Below are 25130 nucleotides of genomic sequence, written 5' to 3' on the forward strand. Positions count from 1 at the left end.
TTGCCATCTGTGTTTCCTTTGCCTCTGTGCCCTTGAAGCTGGACCCTGTCTCCCTGGGTCCCCTCCCAGGGCAGGGCAGAGGGGCACCCCCACAGGCAGCAGTCCCCAAGAGGGAGCACCCTCCTTCCAGATGGCCCAGAGGCCCCAGCAGTCAGATCCTGCTGTTTGTCTCACAAGATGAGCACAGCCAGGAACCCGTGACCTTGTCCCCATTCTGTCCTTGCATCCTTGGGTTCTGATAGTCAAGCCTTGTCTGGAAATCAGGGTGCAGACCAGCCTGAGCAGGTCCATGCCCCAGGAAGATGGCCCTGTCCACCCTCATGGGGCACAGCGCTGGAGAACCAGAGAGAACTCTCCAGGCAGGGCTGTTTCCAAACCTCCCTCCCCGGCTGAGCTGCAGGGCAGCCCTCTGAACAGCTGCTAATGGCCACCCCAGATCTCAAAATCATCCACGTCCAATTTCCCGTCTTGGAATGTCACCTGGGGAGAGGAGACACAGCCCAGGAAGGGATCGAGGAAATAAAAGAGAGAGAGAGAGGACTCGAATGCACACTCTAATCTTCGCTTGGCGGTTCAGCTTTCAGGAGCCCCAATTAATCATTATTAATTTAATCCGGGGTGACTCGGAGTCATCCTGACAGAGATCAGCCACGATTTATCCCACCTGCTAAGGGGCGACCTTAGCAGAATTCAATGAATTCGTCATTGTGTTAAGCAAGGACCCTAATGAATCTCTTGTCGGCCCAGTTTACTGAATGACCATTAGCCACAAATGAGTCACAGCACACCGCCCCCCCCCGCCCCCACACACACACCGATAGTACTGCTATCAAGGCTCTTCTTGACAGTAGGAGGGGGCTGGGCTCGGGAGGACAGCAGGCGTGAGAGGTTGTGCTTTCCTGCGCTGATACTGACAGCTCTGAAATGCACGCATGCCTCAGCATCACCAGGGCTGCTGGTTTAAAATGTGGATTGCAGGACCTCATCCCCAGAGCCTCTGAATCAAAAGAGCTGATTGGGCCCAGGAATCTGCATTTTCACAAGCACCCCTGGTAATTCTGGTGTAGGGGGCCCAGGCATCTGAACCTGAGAACGTGATGAGCTCCAGGAGGTCAATTCTTGGCCTTGGCCTTGTCGAGGTGCGGTGTGCTGGGCAGGGTGGGTGAGGTCAGCGGCTGTCACAAGTAACCCTGCGTCTTCAGTGGCGTGATGCAGCCGAAGCGCATTCTCCTTCAATCGGGTCCAACGGGGTGCTCAGTGGGTCTTCCACAAGGTGACTCGGGGTCCGGTTTCCCGGAGCCTCGGCCTCCCCACTGCTAGTGATGAGCAGAGGATGGCACAGAGGTGACGTCACCTCGACCTACATTGCGCTGACTGGAGCCAGTCCTGTGGCCCCCGCCTGCAGCGAGGGGGTGAAAATGTTGCTTAGCCATGTGTCCAGAGCGAGGAAACGGGTTTAGTGACCATCCCTCTGGCCGTTGTTGCCCAGCCCGGAGGCCTAGTGGGGTGCCCGGCATTGAGGACAGGTGGCCAAGCAACGGGAAGCGGAGGCGGAGTTTTCCATGGGACCCACTGCCCTGCTTGCCGCGGTCACTCTGGTTGGGTTCCTATCTGGGGCTCCAGGATATGCCCCAGCCCCAGTCATGCTGAGGTCAGGGCACACCCTGGAAGTGAGGGTCTATGACCCCTCGGTGGGGAGTCCCGACCCAGATGTTTCCAGAAAGGAGGTCTGTGGTTTCCCACCTGTCGGTCTGACGGTGCCGCGCATCCCCTCCTCCTGCAGGAAGCCCTCCTAGCCACCAGAGGGCGCCGCACCCCCGCCGCTGTCCGCCGCTTGCTGAGCGCTTGCTGTGAGCCCGGGGCCGCTGGACTCGCTCATTGGACCTTCCCGACAACTGAGGGTGGCAGGTTCTATTGTGACTCCCATTTTGTTGACAGGAAGACTGAGTCTCAGAGAGGTAAACGGGGCTGCCCGAGGCCGCACAGCTGGCCAGCTGCAGACCAGGTTAGGAAACACGGCGGTGCGGGCAGGAGCCGGGCGCTGGGGCCACAGGCACCGGCCGCCGCCTCCCGAGTTCTGGGGGCACCTGGGAAAGCGGCTGCGGCCTGGCCCTGCCTCAGTTTCCTCACGAGTGAAACGAGGGTGAACACAGGCCCTGGCCTGGCGGGGTTGCGAGGGTTGCATGGGAGAAGGCTGGGAATCGCCTGGCAGTGCCGCTGCCCCCAGGGTTGTCCCGGGGACGCCCCGGCCATTGGTGCTGCTCTCGGCTGCCGGCCTCCTGCCTCTGGGCTGCTTGCGAAGACAGCGGAGACAATGAGAACAGGACCCCAGTGGTCTAGGGCAGGAGAAGGTTCCAGAAGCGAGGCCCAGATAAGAGGAGACAGCAGAAAAAGCCGCAGGACAGAGCCCCTTGGCCTCCTGAGGTCCCTGGTGTGTCTCTCCATGGTTAGGGAACAGAATCGCTGCCCAGTGGCCTTTCTGCACCGCATCCCATTGCCAGGGAATACAGAGCAAACGGGCCCCAGAGACATAGCCAGCCGTCCTGCTTTATGCCGGGAAACTGAGTCCCAGGAAAAGGAAGGGATCGATCACTCGGCTGCGTGGTGGAGAGCTGGGAGTAGACCCCTGGCATGGTGTCTTTACTGACCTCCTGCCCTTTTCTTCTCCTGGCTACAGCCAGGTGGGGAGAGGCCCTCGGTGGGGCCGGGGCTCTCTAGCAGAGGGGCTGGGTGCCTGCATTCTGTGGGGGCTGGGCCCCAGCTGACTCCTGGGCATTGTGGGTGAGGCAGGGTAGCCCGCCCGCCAGGGGCAGTGCCCTCAGCTCTGTGGAGCTCAGGCTCTCCCATGCCAGGAGAAGCACCCAACGTGTAGCTTCAGAAAGGAAAGGGAAGTGGGGAGCTTTTGAGATTGAAAAGCTGCATGGCAGCTGCCAAGCCGGGGGCGGGGGGGTGGGGCATCCCTTTTGCCTTGAGTCCACCACCAAACCTGGTGTCAGCTGAGAACGTGAAAAGCCACCTGTTGGCAGCTGGGCCGTGATGTTCCTGCCTGAACATAAATAACACCTGCAGAAGATGGCAGAGACAGGCCAGGGCCCTCTCGACTTCACTGGGGATAAGACAGCGACCAGGCCGCTCTGCAGCCACAGAATGACTCAATGTCCCCCTCTTTCAACCAGCGTTGTTCATTGCTGTTCCTTTACCTGTGACAACTCTAACCTTGCTTTAACCTTTTGAGCCCCTAAAAAAAATGAAGATAGCCCAGCACTGAGTGACCCCTGCTTCCTGACTGTCCAACCCAGTGTGGGACCCACTTCCACACCCTTCTCAGGCCCGCCCAACACAAGCCCACATCCTGTTAGGAGCCCATCCAGCCCAGCTCAACTCCTTATGAGAGGCCCTCCCATTCCCCTAGGGCACATGCCATCCTGGGCCGCAGCTTGTCCTGGTGGGCTCTGCCCTAGGCAAGCAGCTCCCTGGGCCATCTCCAGATTCCCCACCCCCATGACTGGAGCAGGGTCTACACGTGAGAATCACCTGGAGAGCTCTCCACAAAATACTGATGTCCTGGCCTCGTTCCAGTCCGCGAAGCTAGAATCTCTGACGATGGACCCTGGGCATCAGGATGATGATGATGATTATTATTATTTGGAGGTGGGGTCTCTGTTGCCGAGGCTGGAGTGCAATGGTACAATCATGGCTCCCTGCAGCCTCGAACTCCTGGGCCCAAGTGATCCCCCTGCCTTAGCCTCCCAAAGTGCTTGGATTGCAGGCATGAGCCACATGCCCAGCCAGCATCAGTTTTTTGTTGTTTTTTTTTTTTTGTTTGTTTGTTTTGTTTTTGAGACGGAGTCTTGCTCTGTCACCCAGGCTGGAGTGCAGTGGTGCAGTCTCAGCTCACTGCAACCTCCGCCTCCTGGGTTCGAGCAATTCTCCTGCCTCAGCCTCCCGAGTAGCTGGGTAATTACAGGCATGCACCACCATGCCTGGCTAATTTTGTATTTTTAACGGGGTTTCCCCATGTTGGTCAGGCTGGTTTTGAACTCCCGACCTCAGGTGATCCACCTGCTTTGGCCTCCCAAAGTGTCGGGATTACAGGCGTGAGTCACTGCACTCCGCCCAGCATCAGTATTTTTTAAAGTTCCCCTGGTGGACCGCACATGGTGTCTCACACTTGTAGTCCCAGAACTTTGGGAAGCTAAGGCAAGAGGATCACTTGAGGCCGGGAGTTCGAGACCAGCCTGGCCAACATGGTGAAACACCGTCTCTACTAAAAATACAAAAATTAGCCGGATGGTAGTGGTGCGTGCCTGTAATGCTAGCTACTCAGCAGGCTGAGGCGGGAGAATCACTTGAGCCTGGGAGGTGGAGGTTGCAGTGAGCCTAGATCGTGCCACTGCACTCCAGTCTGGGTGACAGAGTGAGACCCTGTCTGAAAAAATAGAAAAATAAATGAATAAAGGTCCCCTGGTGATTTGGTTGCAGCCAGGGTTAGGAACTCCTGCTCTAGAAAGAGAGAACCTTCCTCCAAGAATGTATTGGTCTCCAGTTTCCCTAAAGAACAGTCCAGCCCTGGCTGTGCTCCTAGCCAGCCTCATTTCCTAATCCTCCTAGCTCAGGAAGGAGGCTGGCTGGGTCACGTTGACACTCTGGCATGTGGACCTGGCGGGTCAGGTCTGCGTGAGTGCAGGAGGCCACGGTGCCTGAGCGGCAGTTGAGGGAAGTGGGGCTGCGTCATCACAGGGGCGTGGTCACATGGTCGTTGCTTCTGTTGTGAGTTGTGCTGAGAGTAAGTAGAGTTTTTCCGGTCAGAGCCAAGGGCTCCCCTCAGACTGTGGGTAGGAGTTGCAGGAGAAAGGCTTTGAGTCAGTAGGGGAAATAACTTTCTAGCCTTTTTTTAAAAATTGTTTTAGAGATGGGGTCTCCTCTGTCACCCAGGCTGGAGTGCAGTGGTACAGTCATAGCTCACTGCAGCCTCATCCTCCTGGGTTCAAGCGATCCTCCCACCTCAGCCTCTTGAGTAGCTGGGACTATAGGCATGTGCCACCATGCCTGGCTGTTTCTAGCAATTTGAGGCCAATAAGAGCGGGCCACCTCCAGCCCTGGGTATGGCCAAACGGAGGCAGATTGGAAGGAGCTGTGGACTTGACAGAGCGACTTTTAGGCTGAGCATTTTCCGGAAAGGAGAGTGGCCTTTCAGAGGCCCCAAACGGTTTGAACCTGTTCATAAAAGGCGGGAGCATACAGGCCTGGGTGTCCCCTTCCTGTTATGCACTGGGGCACAAGCTCTGCTGTGACACATCCAGCGCTGTGCCCAAGCTCAGCACAAGCCACCCAGGTGTGTGGGTGCAGCCCAAGCTCCTTGCAGGTGAGGGCAGGTTGGGAAGTGTCCACGAGGCTGGGCCAGCAGCTGAGTTTGGGCAGAGGTTGTTCTGTGCTCTGGTCACACGTACAGGCTGCAGCCGGCTGCCCGCCCCCGATAGTGGGGGTGGGGTGGGGTGGGGTGGGATGGAAGCTCAGGCCTCGTTTACCTGCTGACCTGAGGTTGTCAAATGGTTTGCATGGTGGAGAGGCAGGTACACTCCGTGTCAGGCCTGGAGGCTCCTTGTCAGTGGCCACCGCTTTCTCTTGTTTCTTTTCTATGTTCTCTCTGGTTTAACCACCTGCGACGTTCCAAGGCAGCTTCTAAGATCACCTTCACTTCTGACACACCTGCCTAGCTCAGGGGGCCCCAGGACAGCGCTCAGTTTCAGTAATTTGTTAGAAGAACCGCAGAACTGGCAGCCGAAAGCTGCACTCACAGTTATAGTTTATTACAGATGCAGGTTTAAGTCAGCCAAGGGGAGGGACCCATGGGGTGAGCCCAGGAGGGTTCCCAGCACAGAGCTTCGAGCTGTCCCTCTCCGTGGAGTCCTGGACAGTGTTAACTCCTCATGACAACAGCGTGTGATGGCACACAGCATTGCCAACCAGGGACGCTCCGCCAGCCTCGGTGTCCAGAGTCTTTGCTGGGCCTTGGTCACGTGGGCACGGCTGACACCATGTGACTGACCTTAACCTCCAGCACCTCCGCACGTCAAGCTGATGCCCTGTGGTTCAAGGCCCCACCATGAATCTTATCATTAGCATAGGCTGTTCAGGGTGGCTAAGCCCTCAGGTAAACAAAGACACTCTCATCAGGCGGGACTCTTCAAGGGCCTAGAGGTGACCGCCCCAGGAGCCGGGGGAAAGGTCAGACTTTCTGTGAGTTCAGTTAATCCTTCACTGTACACCAGTACTTGGGAGTTTGGGAATTTGGATTCAGCTGTGAAGCTGATAGCAGGTTCTAGATCCTCAGGGGCGGGCTTGGTTATTTCCCTCCGGGGGCTGTGCCGGCAGCGTGGACAGCTTCCACCAGGCAGGAGGGAGGTCAGGTGCGGTTCTGTGGGCAAAGGAGGGACTTGGTCATGGACTTCAGAAGACTCCGAGTAAGTGTCTGCATTTCGGTTTCCTTGTATTTCACCTAGAACGCTGAGCTGCTCTTCTCTTTGAATTCCAAAGAGACATCTAAAGGAAGCCCTCAGCTCTGAAGACCACCTAGCTGGAATCTCAGAGGGAGAGCTGGGGACAGGAAAGGATGACTACTCCCACCATTCTGTGGACACCGAGTCCAGCCTCCGGGAGGACGCTGAGGGAACCTTTTGGGACAGCCAGGGCAGAGAACGCCTTTTACTTCTTAAGGCTCTGGATCAAAACAGAGAAGCTTCTGTTTTGGAGCCTGGCAATCCTCGAACATCAGTGTGCATTTTAAGCCATAAAGCGCAATACTGATTACAAACAGGAATACGGAGGGCTTCCTTTAAACTGCTTCAGAAAACAAACTCCTCGGGGACTTCGAAAGGAGCTCTCACCATAGCTCCTGCAATCCACTCTGAACAGGAAACCTTCTCATCTATTTATTAAAACTGACCCCAGAAAGATTTTCAACAGGGAAGCCTGGCTTTATGTTGTGTATAGCCACAAAGAAGAACATATATTTTTAAAACACATTGCCTGGGGAAGGCTCTCGCTCTGTCAGTGGTTCTTGAATTCTGCAAGACAGCTGTTTCCTTCCTTTCAGTCTGAATCAGAGAGGTTTGCAGCAAAAGCCATTTTGGAGAGACCAGGTCAAGTTCAGCCTTCTCAGATCCAATTTTGCCACTACCATGACCCACAGGAGAAATTCCTCCCAGCTTGGGACTGTGCTATCTCGGATGACGTGACAGCGACAAGCCATTTAGAGTGTGACTTGGGGCTTTTCAGAAGCGCAGATGCACGGGAGGTCTGCATTCAGGTAGTGACAGGTCACAAGGACAGCCGTGGAGGCTCCAAAATTGGCCTGGGAATTGGGATTCAGTTCCACAGGATGGGGCGGGGCCTGAGTCTCTGCATTTCTGACAGGCTCTGAGGGGCTGCTGCAGCTGCTGGTCTCAGCCGGTTTTGCACTAGCGAAGCTCTCGACCCAGGCCGCCCACAGGAAACAGAATGCCAGCCAGATACAGGATTTTAAATGGTCCAGTAGCCTCATTTAAAAAGTAAAAAGAGGCCAGGTGCCATGGCTCACACCTGTAATCCAGCACTTTGGGAGGCCAACTAGAGGATCGCTTGAAGCCAGGAGTTTGAGAACAGCCTGGACAACGTAGTGAGACCCCTATCTCTACAAAAAATGTAAAAGCCAGGCATGGTGGCACCTGTCTGTGGTCCCAGCTCCTCAGGAGGCTGAGGCAGGAGGATCGCTTGAACCCAGGAGTTTGAGGCTGCCATGAGCCATGATCACACCACTGGACTCTAGCCTGGGCGACAGAGCCAGACCCTGTCTCTAAAACAATAATAAATAAATAAATAAATAAGAAGAACCGGGTGAGATTAATTTTGAGATGATATGTTATTTAACTCAGCACATCCAAAATAGCGTCCTCGAGGCACGTGGCCCACCCCCCGGATCTGGCCGGGAGCAGCTTCCACAGTGCCAGGACCTGTCCACCTCTCCTGCTCTGCAGACGCCATTTGGGGCTAATGATCCATTCTCAGCTGCTGTCTGAGCTGGCATTCAGTGCTGTCGCGGTGCTGCAGAGCCGAGCGGCAGGCTGAGCCCTGGGTCTGGGCCGGCTGGCGGCCTGGGGTTGGGGTTTCGGGTGAAGGGTGGACGCGGCCAAGAAACATCCATTGTGCCCGCAGCAGCTGATGTGGTTACAGCTGGCGAAGTGGCGGGCGCCCCCTTGCCACCCCCTCACGCCCCAGCTCAGGAACAGACATCCCTTCTTACAAAAAAATAAAAAAGGAGAAGTGGCGGGGTCACGGCTGTGCTTTCCACATGACCTGCCTGGGAACAGAGCGTGTCTTTGTTAATCCAGCGCCTGTCAGTCGGCCCGAGCCCAGGCATAAGCCCAGGCATAAGCCACTTAGCACGGCCTCACCCCTGTCCCGCCTGGCACTCAGCTAGGGCTAGGGGCACCACGCAGGCCTGTGCCTCCTGCCAGCTGCCCCCACCACCTGCTCCCGCTGGCGCCCCCACGCCCTGACCCAGCCTGCCTGGGTGGCAGGAGAGGACCCGGGAGGGGTGCGTGAGGCGTGTAACTGCTGTGGGCCTCACTTTGCACATCTGGAAATGGGAACAGTCGCTGTGGCCACTGCATGGGATGTTTGTGAGGTTCAGCGCCTTAATATGTGTGAACCAGCTGGCGATACTGGAGAAACAGTAGCTACTTTATTAAGCTGTCGTTCTCATTAATGTCATTGTCGGCTGCCTTCCTTTCACAGTGGCTCTGATCAGCGGTTCCTTCCTGTTTTCCTCCCTCCCTCCCCTCCCCTGCCGTGCTCTTCTTCTCTGCCCCTCCCCCCTCCTCCCACCTCCTCCTTCTCCCCCACCTCTCAGATCCTGTCACCTGCCCACTGCCCTTGGTCCTTGTTGCTTCTCCCTTTGAGCCCCTCTCCCTGCTCCCTGACACCTGGGCATCCTCTCTCAGCCATCCCAGGCTGGCAGGGAGGGAGGGAGGGAGCAGGAGGGCCCGCTGGGGCCCACCAGGGAGAGATGGAGCCTGATGTGGAAGGGGAGCGCACCCAGTCAAGGTCCACTTGAGGTGCTCGGAGCAACCTCTGGCCTGCGTCCCCCCCCCACCCACCTCCCCAGCCCAGCCCCTCCCCTCAACACCCACCCGGGGTCCAGCAAGTGTGGCCAGGTGGGCTGCAAGGCAGTGCACAGCCAAAGCCCTGTGTGTCTGCTCAGGGGCTGGGGATGGAGGGGGGCACCCACAGGCACAGTAGAGGGGACAGCAGGGCCCCCCGCCGCTCCGCATCCTTCAGCAACCGGCAGGCAGGAGCAGTTTGAGGCTAAATATAAACCCAGCCGCCTTTCCGCGGCCGTCAGCAATGGCCATGGCTCTGTCAAGAAGGATTATCTCGTCCTCCAGCAGGCAGGGCATCTGACAGCCGTGGAGGACGGCAGAGGGGAGGGCAGCCTGCTCCGTGGGCTGGTCCCAAATTCCAGAGGCCCATCGGATGCCCCTGGTTCCCAGGGTGCCCCCAGCAGAAGAGCTGAGACTTGAATCCCATGGCACTGATGTGGGCACAAAGGGGCAGAGCCTAGCCACGGAGAGAGGGTGTGCCATCCTCTCTGCCAGGCAGCGGGCTCCCTGGACAGGGTGGGCGTCGTTAGAGCAGAAACGGTGGTGGCAGGACCCAAGACTGTGCAGTTCTAAACCAGCTCTGGTGCAGACAGCCCAGGTCAGCAGCAGCATCGGAGGCAACCTGCCCTCGTGGCACCACAAGAGAGCTGCTGGGGACAGGACGTGGGCGGAGCCCTCGGCTGCCTCCCACCGTGGGACATTGGGGAGGGAGGGAGGGAGGGAAGGAGGTGCCGGGGTGCTCACCTTCCCCGAGGCTTTGTTTCCGGATTCTTCTCTTCCCTCCTTGGGGTACTCCATGGGCTTCTGCTTCGGTGCCCCTGGGGGTCCTTCTCCAGGGCCCCTTGGGCTGTGTACCTGGGCCTGGTGGCTCTGTCTGTGGCTCTCTTGGGGCCCTGGATACCTCCTGCCTGCTTCATTTCCCAGATGTCTTAGGACCTGAGGTGGTGCAGGCTCTCCAGGGACATCTGTCCCACCTGCCGATGCCCACATACCACCTTGCAGTCCTGGTGATGGGGACCCACTGTCTGACCTGTGGCCCCAGCCGCGAGTCCTTCTCACCCCAGACCCCAGCGTCTGTGTTTCATGAGGGTTGTGAAGTCCCTGCCTTCCCGGGTTCCCTCCGCCGGCCCAGCACTGCCCAGCCCCAGCCCCGCACCACTGTCCTCATGTCTGGAGATGTGGGCGGTGTCCGTGCACACTGCTGGAGCAGCTGGGCCAGCTCGACCTCTGGGACCAGGGTGGCCCAGGCTGGCTTGGCCTCTCTGCCTTGCACCCCCAGAGCCCTGGGGCAAGAACAGGACGCTCAGACTCTCCTGCTGGCCCCCTCGCCCACCGCTTCCATCCCCTCCCGTGTGCCCAGCTCAGAGAACATTGCAATCCCTCTGTGGTCTCTCTGATCCTCTTGCGGGGGGGGGGGGGACACACTTACCCCCAAACCCTAAACACAACTGAGTGCCCTTAGGCTGATGTGACAGTGTGCCACAAATTGGCGGCTTAAAACAGCAGAAACTCACTTTTTCACGGTTCTGCAGGCCAGGAGTCCACAGTCGAGCTGTTGGCAGGGCCGCCCTCCCTTCCAAGGCTCGGGGACCCGTCCTGCCTCTTCCAGTTCCCATTGGTCCCAGGTGTGCCTTGGCTCATGGCTGTATTGCCCCGATCTCTGCCTCTCCTTCACGTGGCCTCCTCACTCTTTGTCCCCAAATCTCTCTCTCATTGTAAGGACGCTAGTTAGTGGATTTAGAGCCCCGTGGATTTGGGTGCATTTAGGCTGGATTTAGAGCATCTTAACTTCCTGACATCTGCAAAGACCCCCTTTCCAGACTGCCACATTCACAGGTTCCAGCAGGACATGGGTTTTGAGGGGATGCTATTCACTACAGAAGAAGCAGGGAGGGGGAGGAGGGAGAGGAGGAGAAAGAGAAGGAGGAGAGGAGGAGGCGGACGAGGAGGAGAAGGAGGGGGAGGAAGGAGAGGAGGAGGAGAGGAGGAGCAGGGCAGGAGGAGGAGGAGGTCTCGTCCACCCAGGTTGACACTGGCCTCAGAGGGGAGTAGCTGAAGTGTCCTCTCCCCACACTGTCCAACCCTGTCTAGGCTGGTGGATTTCCTGAATGGCCTCCTGGGCAGGTGTGACGGAAGTGCTGAGGCCAAGGGGCAGGGGATGAAGCGGGCCTCAGGGCCAGCCGGGTTGCAGGTCCCTGGAGCGGGCAGCCTCCCTGGGAGAGGAGGAGGAGCCACTGCCCGGCTGATACTCGCCAAGGCCCCAGCTCTGACACTCCAGTGCACACTCAGCCCTGGCCACAGCAGGAGGGAAGCCTGTGGGGCCTCCCAGGGAACCGTCTCAGAAAGTGAGAGGTGGGGCCCCTGGCCTGCTGGGGTCCCTTGTCCCTCTGACCACAGCTGAGCATTCATGGACCGGGGGCAGCACCTGCGTGGGGTCAGGGCTCCGAGAGGCTCCTGGTGAGACCTGCCCTGCTTCTCCTTGGGCAGACCCCCTTGTCCTGCGTGTCTTCCTCAAGGTCCTCGAGACACCTGGCTTGACCTTGTCCAGCGTGATTCCGTGTTTGGGGAGGGCTGCCCCTGCCCCGAGACCACCCTGGTGGAAGTCTCGGATTGGCTTGTCCCGTTGGGCCAGGGCCAGGCCATCTCGGCCTCCTCTCTTGCAGACAACGGGCCCCTTTTCCCTTTCATGTTGGCCCCGAGGAAGCCAAGCAGAATATTACCACCCCCCACCCCCCTGATCCCCTTCCTGCCCCCTCCCTGCCCTTTGCTGTGAGAGGTTTTCCTGCCCTGCTAGTGCCCCTGGGACAGCTGGAGAGGCCCTAGGCTGGGGGGTGGGGAAGGAGGATTCTGGAGCCTGCTCAGGCAGGCCCAAAGTCTGGGCGGTCAGAACAGGCTGTGGGGAAGGAAGCCCGCGGAGAGCTGTCCGGGAGCCTCTGGGCAGCTCATGTGGCCAAGGCCTGGCTTCTGCTCCCCGCCAGCCTGGGCTGAGCTGGCAATGTCCACCCTGGGCTGCGAGACCCTCGTACATGCCCACTGGGGAGTTGGGAGGCCGGAGGACCCAAGATACATGAACAGCAAATGCATCCTGGGGTGATGTGCTACAGCACTAGTCTGAGCCTCTGTGTGTGTGTGTGTGTGTGTGTGTGTGTGACATAGCCTAGTGTGTGTGTGACACAGCCTAGTGTGTGTATGTGTGTGTGTGTGATACAGCCTAGTGTGTGTATAAGACATAGCCATTTGTGTGTGTGTCACAGCTGTTTGTGTGTATAAGACATAGCCATTTGTATGTGTGTGTGACACAGCTCTGTGTGTGTGTGTGTGACACAGCCTAGCTCAGAGAAGGGCTGTCACTTCCCCAGCCTCCCTCCCCTGAGGCAGTGCCTCACAGAGCCCGGGGAGTGAGAAGGAAAGGAAAGGAGGAGGCAGGCATTCTGCCGGCTAGTGCCACAAAAACCAGCCAGACCCTACACACGTCTCGCCAAAATAGGGGGACGTGAATGCTGCCACCTCCCAGGAGTCCCTTGGAAAGGTCTTGAGTCTGCGCTGGGTGCCTGTTTTCAGCTTGTGTCTCACGGGTAGAGGTGAAGCATGCAGGATGCCATGTCCCAGCCCAGCATCTGTGTGGGGCTGTGGGACAGATGAAGGGATGTGAGGAACAGTGGGGCCTGGTGAGGCTGCAGGGCTTGGAGGTGGCCAGGCTGGTCATCCCACTGTCCCCTACACGTGTGTGCACACATGCATGCACACACATGAGCATGTACACACACACACGTGAGCATGTGCACACACACGAACACACCCACAGGCTCCCTCCTTCCTCGCCCCACTCCTTCCTGAACACCTGCTCCCCTGGCAGGCTCCCCATGCATGGCGGGCCTGGGTCTCTGGCTTAGAAGCCTGGAGCTCCGCCGTCTCCCCCGCAGCAGGCCCTAGGTTCCCCAGGCTTGTTTTCTCCTGCTGTTTCTCATCTCCCAGGCAAGGTTCCCTGGGGGCAGGCCCAGGAGAGGTCTCTGTGTCTCATGTATCTTCCAAGGCCTCTTGGAGAGGAGACAGAACCATCCTGGGACCCTCCCAGCTAAGCATTCTGGGCCGTGTGTTGATCAAGTGACAAGCTGGCACGGCCCTGCGTTTGCCATTTGCTGACCTCACAGGAACACCCAGGATGCTTAGATGCTTGGGAAGAAAACTGGTTAGTGTTTGCAATCAGGGCCAGCTCAGAAAATCTGCAGCATGTCCCAGGACAAAGCCAAGGCCCAGTGAAGATCTGTCACTTATTTTAGAAATATTTGGGAGTGCCCCACCCTGCCCGCCCTGGACACAGTGGGCCTTAACATCTTCCTCTGAGAAGTTCTGAGGGCACCACCGCAGGGTGATCTTTTGACAAGGAAGGAGACAAAGGGGTGGCTGAGGGAGCAGGGGTCGGGGGGAGGCTCAGCGGGAGGCCACACAGCTCTGCCCCGTCTTCACAGGAGCATTTAGGGCCTGCTCTCCTGCAGTCCGGTCTCACTTGCCCCTCCTGCACGCACATCAGATTGAAGGACGTTTTGCTTACAAATAGGGTTCAGATGGCAAACAGGCAGGGAACAGGCCGTGGTACCATGGTGGATGGTGATCCTGCAGAGCCCTGGGGGTCAGGACTGGGGATTGGCCCTGAGAGGGAGCCCGTGCTGAGTGCCTGGGAGCGGGCAGAGCCTGGAGGGCCTCGGGTTGGCTGTTGCCTCCTACAGCAAGTGCTGGGCTCCCTCGTTCATTCCGTGGGACAGTGATGGGGACAAGAGTAACCAAAACCCAACCCCTGTGTCCTGGGGGAGCCGCCTGCCTGGTGTGTGTAGACTTGAGACCGTGTGTAAGGCAAGAGAGGAGTACGCACCGGTTCCATTTGCATTTCAGATAAACAACGAACACGCTTTTAGTATAAAAGTCTATCCCATGCAGTATTTGGGATATACTTATACTAAAAACGTATTCGTTGTTCATCCGAAATGAACTGGGCACCCTGTATTCTTATTTGTTGTATTTGGCAACCCTGAGTAGTGGGGATAAAGGCTTCGGAGCAAACCCAGGTTGGGAAAGGACCAAGCAAGTGTATCCGCTGCATCCCACGCCAGAGCACGGTGAAGCCCTAGTGGGAGGGGGGGTGAAGGTGGGAGCAGGACCAGGCTGGAGGGGCAGGGCTGGTGCCCATGGTGCCCCTGCTGGGCTTTCCTCTGGCCGCTCCTGCGTCAGCGCTCAGAGCCATCGAATGTCCCACCCGATGGACGGCAGAGGCCATCTGGCCTGACTGCTGTTTCCAAAGGGCGAAGTGAATTTACCAGAAACCTGATAGCAGCCACGAGCTCCCTGAGTAACTCGGTGCAGAAGTGCGACACCAGCCACCTATTCCATTTTCAGTTTCCTACTAGCCACGCTTTTAAAAAGGAAAAGCAGGTGAAATTTATTTTAATATATTCTCTCTAGCCTAATATATTCAAAATATTATCATTTCAACATGTCATCAATATGTTGAATTGTCAGAGAGCGATTCCTTTCTTCCTATCAAGTCTTCAGAATCCGGTGTGTCTGCTTATAGCACGTCTCAATCTGCACAGGGCACGTTTCGAGGGCTCCCTAGCCACGTGTGGCCCAGGTGGCCGTAAGGGACCAGCCCATCTTGCACCCACACCTCCCAGCCACTGGTCCGGGTGTCCTCTCTGCCCGGTGAAGAGCGCTCCAGCAGGCTTTGATCTGAGGTCTCTCCCACTGGGGGAGGAGTCACTGAGGTCCACAGGGGTAAGGGGACTGGACTGCCCGTGGCCAGTAGGGGGCAGTGGAGGTCAGTGCTCTGCCCTCCACGGACCAGGCCACCTGCAAGGACAGCAGACGTCCTCACTGGGGGCTGCACATCAGCCAGTGGCCTCTGCAGTAGATCGAGTCCCAACCCCCATGGGGCTCCGCAGGGGTTACCATCCACAGTGGTGCTGTGGCCTATTTCCTGTGTGTCTTGGGAGCAGACGTCTCCCTGTCAGGATGATGGGGTGTCAGGGGCTGAACCTGGGCTCAGGGAACCCCGCCCGGCGTGGCTGCAGCCCCTCAGGGCACAGGGTACGGCCTCAAAGAGTGGAAAAACTGAGTGGGCCACAGAGCAGGAGCCCCGGGAGGGATGCCCTGGCACTTTTGGGGAACCCACCTCTGTTGGGGGTGGGCTGCTGAGCGAGTCTCAGGCCCCGTCCCTGCACTGCTGGGGCCTAAGGCAGAGGCAGGCACATTGATTCCCTCCCGTAAAAGTCTCTGCTCCATCTTGCCATGTGTCTATTTAACCATGAGCGTTTACTGAGCACCTGTTGTGTGCTGGGCAGGCACCATGCCTGGCTCTGAAGATCACGTGGGGACAAGACGGGGCCTTTGTCTGGTTGTAGTGACTGTGACATCAGGCACCTCCTTTGGGTGTGGACGGGACTAACACTTGCTCCATGTCAGGGCTGCAGGACCTCCTGGCTGTTGACAGCAGGCATGCATCCCTCTGGCTGGTTCATTCCTGTAGAACGTCGATAGCCCTCCTTCTCCTCTTGGCTCTCTGGTGTGCTGTGCACACCACGCTTCCTACCTCCAGCTCCAGCGGTGCTGCAGACTCATGCCCCCAGGACCAGCCTCAGCCAGCAGCCCCAGGAAGTGAGGACAACCCCCCTACGAGTCCCAGCCCCTCAGGTGGTATAGCCTAGGCCTGATCTGCACAGCCCCCGTGGTCCGTGGCAGGACTGAGCCCTGCTGCCCACAGTGAGTGTTGGTGAGCATCCATGCGCCCTGCACAGCCCCCAAGGTCCCTGGCAAAATTGATCCCCAGTGCCCACGGTCAGCACTGGTGGGCATCCATGCGCCCTGCACAGCCCCCGAGGCCCCTGGCAAGATTGAGCCCCGGTGCCCACAGTGAACGCTGGTGAGCATTCATGCACCCTGCGCTGGCTCATTCGCTTTCCTGCCGCGCTGCCCACCAGTGTATCCAGCACTCCCCTCCTAAGTGTGGGACCTGAGCTCTGAGCTCAGCTCCTTGCCTCGTCCGCTTCTGGGAGAGCCCAGACTAAGAGGGAAACTATCGTGTGAATCGTCAGGTGTTTTGGACATCTGCCTCAGCCCGGGGTTCCTGGGGGAGGTGGGGCCTCAGTTGGTTCTCAAAAGAACTGGGAACATTCTAGAAAGCTGAAAAGAGAGGAATTGGCAAGCCAGTCAGGAAGAATAGCATCTGCAAAGATCTGGCCACAGGACAAGGCCACGTTTGAACAGGGCAGGGGAGGAGGCCGTCCCATGGTGGTGGGGCAGGGACCTGTGCCCAAGTGGGCAGGAGGCTTCAGATCTGGGGCCAGGGATGCGGTGCCCACCGCCAGGCCCCTTAAGAGATTCAGTCCTTTCTAAACTTCAAAGGGCATCGCTTTGAAGTTTGGCTGTGTCTGGAAGATGAGTAACTCGGTCACTCTGAGCCCCGGTTTCCTTATCCCTTTTTTTGGATGGGGGGATAGGGTCTTACTCTGGGCCCCAGGCTATAGTGCACTGGTGCAGCTGTGGCTCAGTGCAGCCTCAACCTCCTGGGGTCAAGTGATCATCCTGTCTTCGCCTCCCAAGTAGCTGGGACAGCAGGCATGCACCACTATGCCTGGCTAATTTTTTTAATTTTTTGTAAAGTGGGAACCTCCCTATGTTGCCCAGGCTGGTCTCAAACTCCTGGGATCAAATGATATTCCCTCCTGGGCCTCCCAAAGTGCTGGGATTACAAGCGTGAGCCACTGTGCCCAGCCTCCTCATCCATAAAATGGGGCTGACGATAGTGGGAACTAAATGAGTGATTTGTGAGAAGCACCTGGAACAGTGGTGGTTGTGGGGCACACGTAGAGCCAGCGCCATCGTTCAGGTCAGCGTCAGAGGTGGTGGGGTTGGCACAGCCCTATCAAGCTGCTTGGGCAGACTCCAGAGCAGCCTCCAGTGAGGATGTGGCTTCTCAGCTTCTCACCCCCAATGACTCCCCAAAGGTAGTGTCGCAGGAGACACAGGGTCGGGGAGACCTCCCGGACTGTCAGTTCCTGGGCCACCTTAGCTGTTGACTCAACCTGTGAGGGTGAGATGTTGGTAAATGACCTGGGTCCCTTAATAACATGGATGAGGCAGTGTTTAAGGCGGAGTCCTGAAGAAGCAGGCTGGGCTGAGGACCCAGGTGCTAAGAATGGCGCATCACCTGGTGTCTGGTGTCCTTTGGAAAGCGAGCATCATCTGTATCTTGGAAGGGTGGAGTGGCGGTGACATTAGATGTGAACTTGTGGGGCCCAGCATGTCATAGGCCCTCAGTATCGCTCACCCCCTCCCTTCTCCTCCTCTTCTCTCTTGACATTTAGGCAAATGCCCAGGCGGTAGATTGAGGGTCTCAGAGCCAATGAAAACACTAGCTTTCCACCATCAGTTGTCAGAAATTTGTGAAGAAAATTCTGGAAAAGTAGGCGTGTGACCCAGAACTTGCGATCGGTGCCAGGGCACTGGGTGGGACAGTGTAGCGGGAGTCCTAATGGAAGCCTCTGGATCGAGTCCCGTCGTAACCAGGCTGCAGTGAGCCGGGCAGCTCTTCTAGCAGAGCAGGAGAGACGCCAGCTCCTGGGCCTCAGCCTGTGTCCGCCCTGGCAGCAGAGCCTCCTCGTCCTCACCCTTCCGTTCCAGCGGGAGTGGGTGGGGTGGCGAGCGTCGGGCTGATGAGCTCCCTGTGTGAAGGGGTCCCTGTGCTGAGCCCATTGGAGCTTTTCAGTTGCCAGGCAAGGTTCTGGGCAGACATTATTGCGACCATCTCACAGATGAGCATATTGAGGCTCCACCCAGAACAGGGCCCATAGGGCCCTCGAACACCGCCTCCAGCATTAGTTCACTCTGTTTTCTCTGAGCTTCCCTGTCATCTTTTAGAGGCCTCTCTTGGGGGCATTTGCAGATTCTGCCTCGTACTGTGTTATTTCAGTTTGGTGTTACATCTTATACCTTTTAGACCTTCTTTGAAGGCCTTCTCACAAATGGTACGCATTCAGTACAACATCCTTGAACTGAACTGAAGTGCCGTTTGAGGCAGCACCTAGCATGGTGCCTGGCAAACATAAGGTGCTCAATAAATGCTTGTTGAGTCCATGGGTAAGCTTTCCCTGGGTCCCGGGCTTACAACTGGCAAAGACTGGGGCTGCGCCTACCCAGCCGGTTCGCTTCTCCTTGGGGTTGCGTTTCTTTAAAAACAAATTACAGGTTCTCAGATGGATAATGACAGGCCCCACATTTTCACAGGAGAAATCTGTCTGGGAAACTTTAAATGAGGCAACAAGGAGAAGCAGTCGGGGCCGGGGAATCCATGTTGCTGCCGTTCTTGGGGCCAAGGGCCTCCAGAGGGGACTGGGTGGGAAGCAGAGTGGGCAGCCGTGGCCCCACCCAGCAGGGCCCTGGTCGCCCTCCGTGGAGGGAGTGGGCGGCGCATGAGTTAGCCGACCTGTGTCATTTGAGGCCGGAGCAGTTTTCCTTTCGCTCACGCAGAACACCAGGCCCGTTTGCCTCCTCTGAGGCCAGGAGGTGTGTGGAGCAGACGCCCAGTTTTCACCTGGTGAATCCAAGAGCTCACAGAACCAGGACAGACAGGGCCGCCACCATACCCGGCTAATGTTTTGTTTTGTTTTGTTTTGTTTTGTTTTTTTGTAGAAATGGAGTCTCTCTATGTTGCCCAGGCTAGTCTCAAACACCTGGGCTCAAGTGATCCTTCCACCTCAGCCTCCCAAAGTGCTGGGATTATAAGCGTGAGCCACCACGCCCGGCCTGTATCCTCTCTTCTTACAGAAACACTTAATCCAGTGTGACCTCATCTTAACTAGTAACATCTTCCAAGACCGTATTTCAAAAAAAGGTCATATTCTGAGGTTTTGAGCAGCATGACTTCTCGGGGAACACTGTTCCAGCCATTGCACTTGTTCTCCCAAGGATGGGCTCTCACCACCTCTCCAGCCCCCATGTCCTTTCTCCCCACTCTGCGTGGCTGCCCTGGAGGCACTGCCTTCTTGCTATTGCTCCACAGCACCAGGCATGCTTGTGCCCCAGGGCCTTGGTACCTGCTGTCCTCCTGCCCGGAACACCCAGAGCTCCCTTCCTCACTTCTTCTAGGAGTCTACTCACATGACCTCCTAGAAATCACACTCCCGTCACTCCAGTCTTATTTAGCGTGGCTTAGTTTCCTCTGCGCCCCCTGCCCCCATCACCCCGATCTTATTTAGGTCGCCTTAGTTTCCTGTGTACCCCTGGCCCTCTATATGTTGTATGTGTATTTGCCAGTCTGTGACACCTCCAGGCAACTGGAAGGACAGGGACCTTGTCTGTCTCTTCTGCCGGTGTCCTAGAACAGTTCCTGGCACACAGTAGGTGCTCAACTCCATCTGTAGCCTGAGTGAATGCTCGTGTAGCTCAAGTGTGCAGGCTTGTGGAATCCCAAGGGGTCCTTGAAGTAATGATTTCTTCAGCACAGGGGTTTCAGAAGCTGCAGCACAAGGAGAGAGGAGGGCGAAGAAGGGATCCACTCCATGGTTTCTCCCCTCTTCTGCCTGAGCTGGTCTGCTTTTCTCTAAATTATATACTTATTTTTGTTTGAAAGGAAGGGCGAAAAGAATTCTGCCAGCAATGTACTGAGGCCCCTGTTTGTACTAAAAATTAAAAAATTAGGCCAGGCATGGTGACTCACAACTGTAACCCCAACACTTGGGGAGACTGAGGCAGGAGGATCATTTGAGCCCGGGGGAGTTTGAAGTGGCAGTGAGCCACGATCATGCTGCTACACTCCAGCCTGGGTGACAGAGCAAGAGCCAGCTCTTAAAAAAATTTTGTTAATATAAATAATAATGTAACTGGGTGTGGTGGTGTGCTCCTGTAGTCCAGCTACTTGGGTGGCTGAGGCAGGGGGATCGCTTGAGCCCAGGACTTTTGTGCCACTGCCCTCCAGCCTGGGTGACAGAGTGAGAGCCTGTCTTAAAAAAAAAAAAAAAGAAAAAAAAGTTCTGCCTGTAACTGACGGAAGAATCTAGAGGCTGATTGGAACATCTAGAGTAACAGCCTCGGACACTGAGGCTCCTAGAAGGACCTAAGCAGATGCAGCCTAAGGTCCTGAGCCAGCTGGGGTAGAGCCAGACCCCAAGTCCAGCTTCCTGACCGCCAGGGCCGTGTCCACCCACTGAGCCTGGCCGCGGCTCCTCCCTGCCTGGGCAGTGACCATTGCTAGGGGCTGGCGTGGAGCCTGCGTGGGAAGGTGCCTGAGGCTCTGCACCCAGCAACTTGCAGGTCAGAAGAGCTGGGACTGGGTGGACCTTCCAAGGCGCTCAGAGCAGTGTTGTTTCCAAGTTCAACATTCTGCCTTGCCAGCGGCTAGCTCAGTGTCACATGGCACACGTTCCAGGAAACAGAGCGGCCTCTGCCATCCCTGGAGGCCAGTCTGGGTCTGATAGTACCGGGTGGGTCAGCACCCTGAAAGCCCCGGGCGGGCGGGGGGGAAGGTGGCAGTGGGGGAAGGGGAGCAGCCCACCCAGAGTTGCTGAGAACTCCCGGAGGCTTCTGGAAATATTGTAACTGGCCACACTGTTTGCACTTTCAAACCTTGTTGCAAAGAAAAATAAATACATAAACCTAATCAGAGGAGGTTTGCAAGCAGTGACCAAGGGACTGTTTGTACTGCAGTGAGCCAACAGTGGATACTTGCAGGGGTCTGCTGGGTTCAGGACCTCTCTGCCGTGCTCTAGGGATGTTGTTCCCAGCCCTCTTGGGTGACTTTGAGCAAAGGGCTGTTATCTCCATTTTGCTTTTTTTTTTTTTTTTTTTAAGACAGAGTATTGCTCTGTCGCCCAGTCTCCAGTGCAATGGCGTGATCTTGGCTCACTGCCACCTCTACCTCCCGAGTTCAAGCGATTCTCCTGCGTCAGCCTCCTGAGTAGCTGGGACTACAGACGTCCACCACCATGCCTGGCTAATTTTTGTATTTTTAGTAGAGAGGGGGTTTCACCATGTTGGCCAGGCTGGTCTCGAACTTCTGACCTCAAGTGATCTACCCGCCTTGGCCTCCCAAAGTGCTGGGATTACAGGCATGAGCCACCACGCCCAGCCTCCGTTTTGCTTTTGAGGAAACTGAGGCTCAGACGACTTCGGGGTCAGTGCTGATTGGTGAGTGACCCTGCGGGGACTAGATGTCAGTTGGTCTGAGTCAAAAGCTCATGCTTTTTCCTACTTTGTCACCTCCCAAAATAGCATTTGGAAGGGAAAACAGAACAGGGCGTCATTGTTTGTTGTTTCTGACCGTTTGTGGTTCGTGGTGGAGACAGAATCTTGGGGCAAGACGTGAGAGGCAATTTCAGGTGGGCCTGGAACTTGAAGGGCTGCAGTCTCAAAACCAAAGATTGGGTCACATGGTTCAATAGAGCGTTTTTGTGCTGTCTCCGGGTGGGAGACAGCATTCAGTGCCAAAGCCTTGACATTTCCAGAACCTTCTGAGGGTTGCTGGAGACCACGAAATGGCAAGATAGAATTAGTGGCCCACTTGGACTGCCTCTAGAAAGGGTGAGAGCCTAGAGGTCAGCGGCACTGGCGGACCAGGCCTTGGGAGTTAGAGTCTCAGGAGGCTGCCAAGGTGAGCTGAATTCTGGAAGAAGGGAGACAGGCCCAGAGAGACAGGGCGTCTGGGGGGAAAGTCGCCGGCCTGGAGGAGGGGGCGAGTTGCCAGGTGGATGGCACAGCCTGGTAGCTCGCGGGAGGTGAGGTGGGGCATGAAATGAGGGACCCCAATCCCAAGGCCTATGTGGTGGGAACCTGCCAACTCTCAGAGGCTCTGCCCAGTGACTGCCCCCACCCCTGATTCTGGCCAGGCTGAGCAGTGGGGGGAGGTCTGGAGACCTGTGTCCAGGGCCGGCCCCAAGGGGGGCAACTGTGCAGACACTTGGGGCCCCAGGCTGACTTCCACGCTCCCCCATTGCCACCCTAATGTGCTGCATTGTTGTTGAGTGAGGAGTTCCCCCTTAGATGAGAAGGGGTCCTGCCTTGTGGTCTAGGTTGACACAGAGTGGCTGGTCATCTGGCCGCCTGCCACACAGCTTCCAAGTCCAGTAAGGCCTTGAGCCCGAATCTGCCTTGAGCCCAGGAGCATTTTCTGTGAACTGCTTCTGCACCACCCGATTCCTTTGCACATGAAAGCTTAACCAAGGTCTCGCTGCACACCCATGACGGGGCAGGAATTAAAAAGGCAGATAATAACAAGTGTTGGCGAGGACGTGGAGAAGTTGGAACCCTGGTGCACAGCTGCTGGGAATGCACGTGGTGCAGCTGCCATGGAAAACAGCCTGGCAGCTCCTCAGATGATGAACTTAGAGTTGCCCGAGGACCCAGTTACTGCACTGTAGGTACCCAAGAGAATGAAAACATCGGTGGCCGGGCACAGTGGCTCACGCCTGTAATCCCATCACTTTGAGAGACTGAGGCAGGTGGATCACCTGGGGTCAGGAGTTTGAGACCAGCCTGGCCAACATGGCGAAACCCCGTCTCTACTAAAAATACAAAAATTAGCTGGGTGTGGTGGCGCATGCCTGTAATCGCAGCTACTTGGGAGGCTGAGGCAGGAGAATCACTTGAACCTGGGAGGCAGAGGTTGCAGTGAGTTGAGATCACGCCACTGCACTCCAGCCTGGGTGACAGAGCGAGACTCCCTCTCAAAAAAAAAAAAAAAAAGAAAAAGAAAACATCGGAACATCGGTTCCACAAAAGCCTGTGCACACACGTTCACAGCAGCATTATTTGTAATAGCCTAAGTGGAAACAGCACAGAAGCTGTCAGTTGATGAGCGGATAAACAAAATCTGGTCTACCCAGAGAGTGGAGTATGACTGGGCCATAAAAGGAACGAACACAGAGGGTGGGTCTGCGCCATCCGTGACATGTCCAATAGGCAAATCCACAGAGACAGGAAGCGGATGAGTGGCTGGCAGGGCCTGGGGAAGGCGATTCCGTCGGGGAAAGGGGGATAAATCTGAATGGGTATGGAGTTTTGTTTTGGGTGATGGAAGAGTTCTGGAGTTAGTTGCACGGCATTGTGAAATGTAAAAAGCACTGAGTTGGACACTTTAAAATGGTGCTTTTTGTGATGTATAAATTATATCCCAATTCATTTTTATTTTTATCCGTTTTTTTTGAGACAAGGTCTCACTCTGTCACTGCAGCTGGAATGCAATGGTACAATCTCAGCTTGCTACAACCTCGACCTCCTGGACTCACTTGAGCCCAGGGACCTCAGCCTTTTGAGTAGCTGGGACTACAGGTGCATGCCACCACACCTGGCTACTTTTTAAAATCGTTCATAGAGACGAGGTCTCACTGTGTTCCCAGGCTGGTCTCGAACTGCTAGCCCCAAGTGATCCTCCCACCTCAGTCTCTCAAAGTACTTGGATTATAGGCATGAACCGCCGTATCCAGTCTAGATCTCAATGTCTTAAAAAGCTTTAGTGGCGAGGGGGGCAGGCCTTGGGCCTGGACGGGCACTGTGTTTTGACCTCTGGGGGCTCTTTATTGTCCCTCTAAGTTCTTCCAGTGTCACGATCATGGTTTTCAAACCAAAAATTGAGTCCTGTGATCTGATAAAGGGTATTTTTCAGTAAAAAAAAAAATTTTTTTTTTTGAGACAGAGTTTCACTTTTGTTGCCCAGGCTGGAGTGCAGTGACACGATCTCAGCTCACTGCAACCTCCGCCTCCTGGGTTCAAGTGGTTCTCCTGCCTCAGCCTCTGGAATAGCAGGGACTACAAGCATATGCCGCCATGCCCAGCTAATTTTTGTATTTTTAGTAGAGACGGCATTTCACCACGTTGGCCATGCTAGTCTCAAACTCCTGACCTCGGGTGATCCACCTGCCTTAGCCTCCCAAAGTGCTGGGATTAGAGGCGTGAGCCACTGCACCCGGCCTTCAGTCAATTTTTTTTTTTTTTGAGACGGAGTCTCCCTCTGTCGCCCAGGCTGGAATGCAGTGGCACGATCTCAGCTCACTGCAACCTCCGCCTCCAGGGTTCAAGCGATTCTCCTGCCTTGAGTAGCTGGGATTACAGGCGCATGCCATCGTGCCCAGCTAATTTTTGTATTTTTAGTAGAGAGGGGGTTTCACCATGTTGGTCAGGCTGGTCTCGAACTCCTGACCTCATGATCCACCCGCCTCAGCCTCCCAAAGTGCTGGGATTACAGGTGTGAGCCACCACCCCCAGCTCAGTCAATTTTAAAAATACGTTCATATGAAAAATTTGACAGGGGTAGAAAGTTGGCCTGACGGTGTCTACTTTAACAAGATCCTTGACTGGAAGGGTCATACATCTCTGGAATCGGTGCCCCCCTGGCTCGTTCAGGATATGGGCTCATCACAACCACCTGGGAGGGGCGGTTAAGCCTAAGGGTTAATGAGGAGGACTCTGAGCCACCCGCCTGGTTTGAATCTCACTTCCACCACATCTTGGCTGTGTGACCTTAAGTGAGTTAATTAACATGTCTGTGCCTCAGTGAACTCATCTGTAAAATGGGGATGATTGTTGTTGGGTTAAATGAGTTTAGCCTGTGATATGGTTTGGCCGTGACCCCACCCAAATCTCATTTTGAATGGTAATCCCCACAAACCCCACAGGTCCTGGGAAGGACCCCATGGGAAGTGATTGGATCTTGGGGGCGTTTCCCCTATGCCGTTCTTGTGATCATGAGTTTGGCATTTCCTCTGCTTGCACTCACTGTCTCTCCTGTCGCCTTGTGAAGAAGTTGCCTGCTTCTGCTTCCCCTTCTGCCATGATTGTAAGTTTCCCGAGGCCTGCCCAGCCATACAGAACTGTAAGTCAATTAAACCTCTTTTCTTTATCAATTCCTCAGTCTCGGATATTTCGCCATAGCAGCGTGAGAACAGACTAATATGGCCTGGTGCTTACTTTGTGGTTTCAGCTCCTGTCCAGGGTAGAAGCTGTGATCAG

At 56.1% G+C, this 25130-nt stretch overlaps 1 protein-coding gene, 2 long non-coding RNA genes and 1 other non-coding gene across 7 annotated transcripts in view, besides 9 other annotated features; 2 read left to right on the forward strand and 2 right to left on the reverse strand.

The window, feature by feature from the left end:
• Positions 1-25130, forward strand: part of GSE1 (Gse1 coiled-coil protein) — a 506689-nt gene that overhangs the window by 132147 nt on the left and 349412 nt on the right. The window lies entirely within an intron of this gene.
• MIR5093 (microRNA 5093) lies at positions 4568-4667 on the reverse strand. The gene has a single exon (NR_049816.1). It is a non-coding gene; the product is annotated as a microRNA 5093 (primary transcript).
• Positions 4698-4747: an enhancer, noted in NCBI's record as "active region_11270". NCBI's record gives its function as "activates an Ori minimal core promoter by ATAC-STARR-seq in GM12878 lymphoblastoid cells {active_cell/tissue: GM12878}" and the evidence as "EXISTENCE:reporter gene assay evidence [ECO:0000049][PMID:35858748]".
• LOC101928502 (uncharacterized) lies at positions 5790-11309 on the reverse strand. The gene is made up of 2 exons (XR_243488.4): positions 9885-11309; positions 5790-6418 (listed from the first exon to the last, which is right to left on the reverse strand). It is a non-coding gene; the product is annotated as an uncharacterized LOC101928502 (long non-coding RNA).
• Positions 5945-6239: an enhancer, noted in NCBI's record as "tiled region #9835; HepG2 Activating DNase matched - State 1:Tss". NCBI's record gives its function as "activates a minimal TATA promoter and a strong SV40 promoter by Sharpr-MPRA in HepG2 cells {active_cell/tissue: HepG2}" and the evidence as "EXISTENCE:reporter gene assay evidence [ECO:0000049][PMID:27701403]".
• Positions 5945-6239: a silencer, noted in NCBI's record as "tiled region #9835; K562 Repressive DNase unmatched - State 6:EnhF". NCBI's record gives its function as "represses a minimal TATA promoter and a strong SV40 promoter by Sharpr-MPRA in K562 cells {active_cell/tissue: K562}" and the evidence as "EXISTENCE:reporter gene assay evidence [ECO:0000049][PMID:27701403]".
• On the forward strand, positions 6154-7868 carry LOC107984830 (uncharacterized). The gene is made up of 2 exons (XR_007065158.1): positions 6154-6240; positions 6504-7868. It is a non-coding gene; the product is annotated as an uncharacterized LOC107984830 (long non-coding RNA).
• Positions 14859-15028: a silencer, noted in NCBI's record as "silent region_7804". NCBI's record gives its function as "represses an Ori minimal core promoter by ATAC-STARR-seq in GM12878 lymphoblastoid cells {active_cell/tissue: GM12878}" and the evidence as "EXISTENCE:reporter gene assay evidence [ECO:0000049][PMID:35858748]".
• Positions 15704-16499: an enhancer, noted in NCBI's record as "H3K27ac-H3K4me1 hESC enhancer chr16:85350968-85351763 (GRCh37/hg19 assembly coordinates)". NCBI's record gives its function as "activates a minimal SCP1, AML or CMV promoter by ChIP-STARR-seq in primed H9 embryonic stem cells {active_cell/tissue: H9 hESC(primed)}" and the evidence as "EXISTENCE:reporter gene assay evidence [ECO:0000049][PMID:30033119]".
• Positions 18091-18601: an enhancer, noted in NCBI's record as "H3K4me1 hESC enhancer chr16:85353355-85353865 (GRCh37/hg19 assembly coordinates)". NCBI's record gives its function as "activates a minimal SCP1, AML or CMV promoter by ChIP-STARR-seq in naive H9 embryonic stem cells {active_cell/tissue: H9 hESC(naive)}" and the evidence as "EXISTENCE:reporter gene assay evidence [ECO:0000049][PMID:30033119]".
• Positions 18602-19111: an enhancer, noted in NCBI's record as "H3K4me1 hESC enhancer chr16:85353866-85354375 (GRCh37/hg19 assembly coordinates)". NCBI's record gives its function as "activates a minimal SCP1, AML or CMV promoter by ChIP-STARR-seq in naive H9 embryonic stem cells {active_cell/tissue: H9 hESC(naive)}" and the evidence as "EXISTENCE:reporter gene assay evidence [ECO:0000049][PMID:30033119]".
• Positions 19862-20392: an enhancer, noted in NCBI's record as "H3K4me1 hESC enhancer chr16:85355126-85355656 (GRCh37/hg19 assembly coordinates)". NCBI's record gives its function as "activates a minimal SCP1, AML or CMV promoter by ChIP-STARR-seq in naive H9 embryonic stem cells {active_cell/tissue: H9 hESC(naive)}" and the evidence as "EXISTENCE:reporter gene assay evidence [ECO:0000049][PMID:30033119]".
• Positions 20393-20923: an enhancer, noted in NCBI's record as "H3K4me1 hESC enhancer chr16:85355657-85356187 (GRCh37/hg19 assembly coordinates)". NCBI's record gives its function as "activates a minimal SCP1, AML or CMV promoter by ChIP-STARR-seq in naive H9 embryonic stem cells {active_cell/tissue: H9 hESC(naive)}" and the evidence as "EXISTENCE:reporter gene assay evidence [ECO:0000049][PMID:30033119]".

Source organism: Homo sapiens, chromosome 16 (genome assembly GCF_000001405.40).
Source record: "Homo sapiens chromosome 16, GRCh38.p14 Primary Assembly".
NCBI classification, from domain to species: domain Eukaryota; kingdom Metazoa; phylum Chordata; class Mammalia; order Primates; family Hominidae; genus Homo; species Homo sapiens.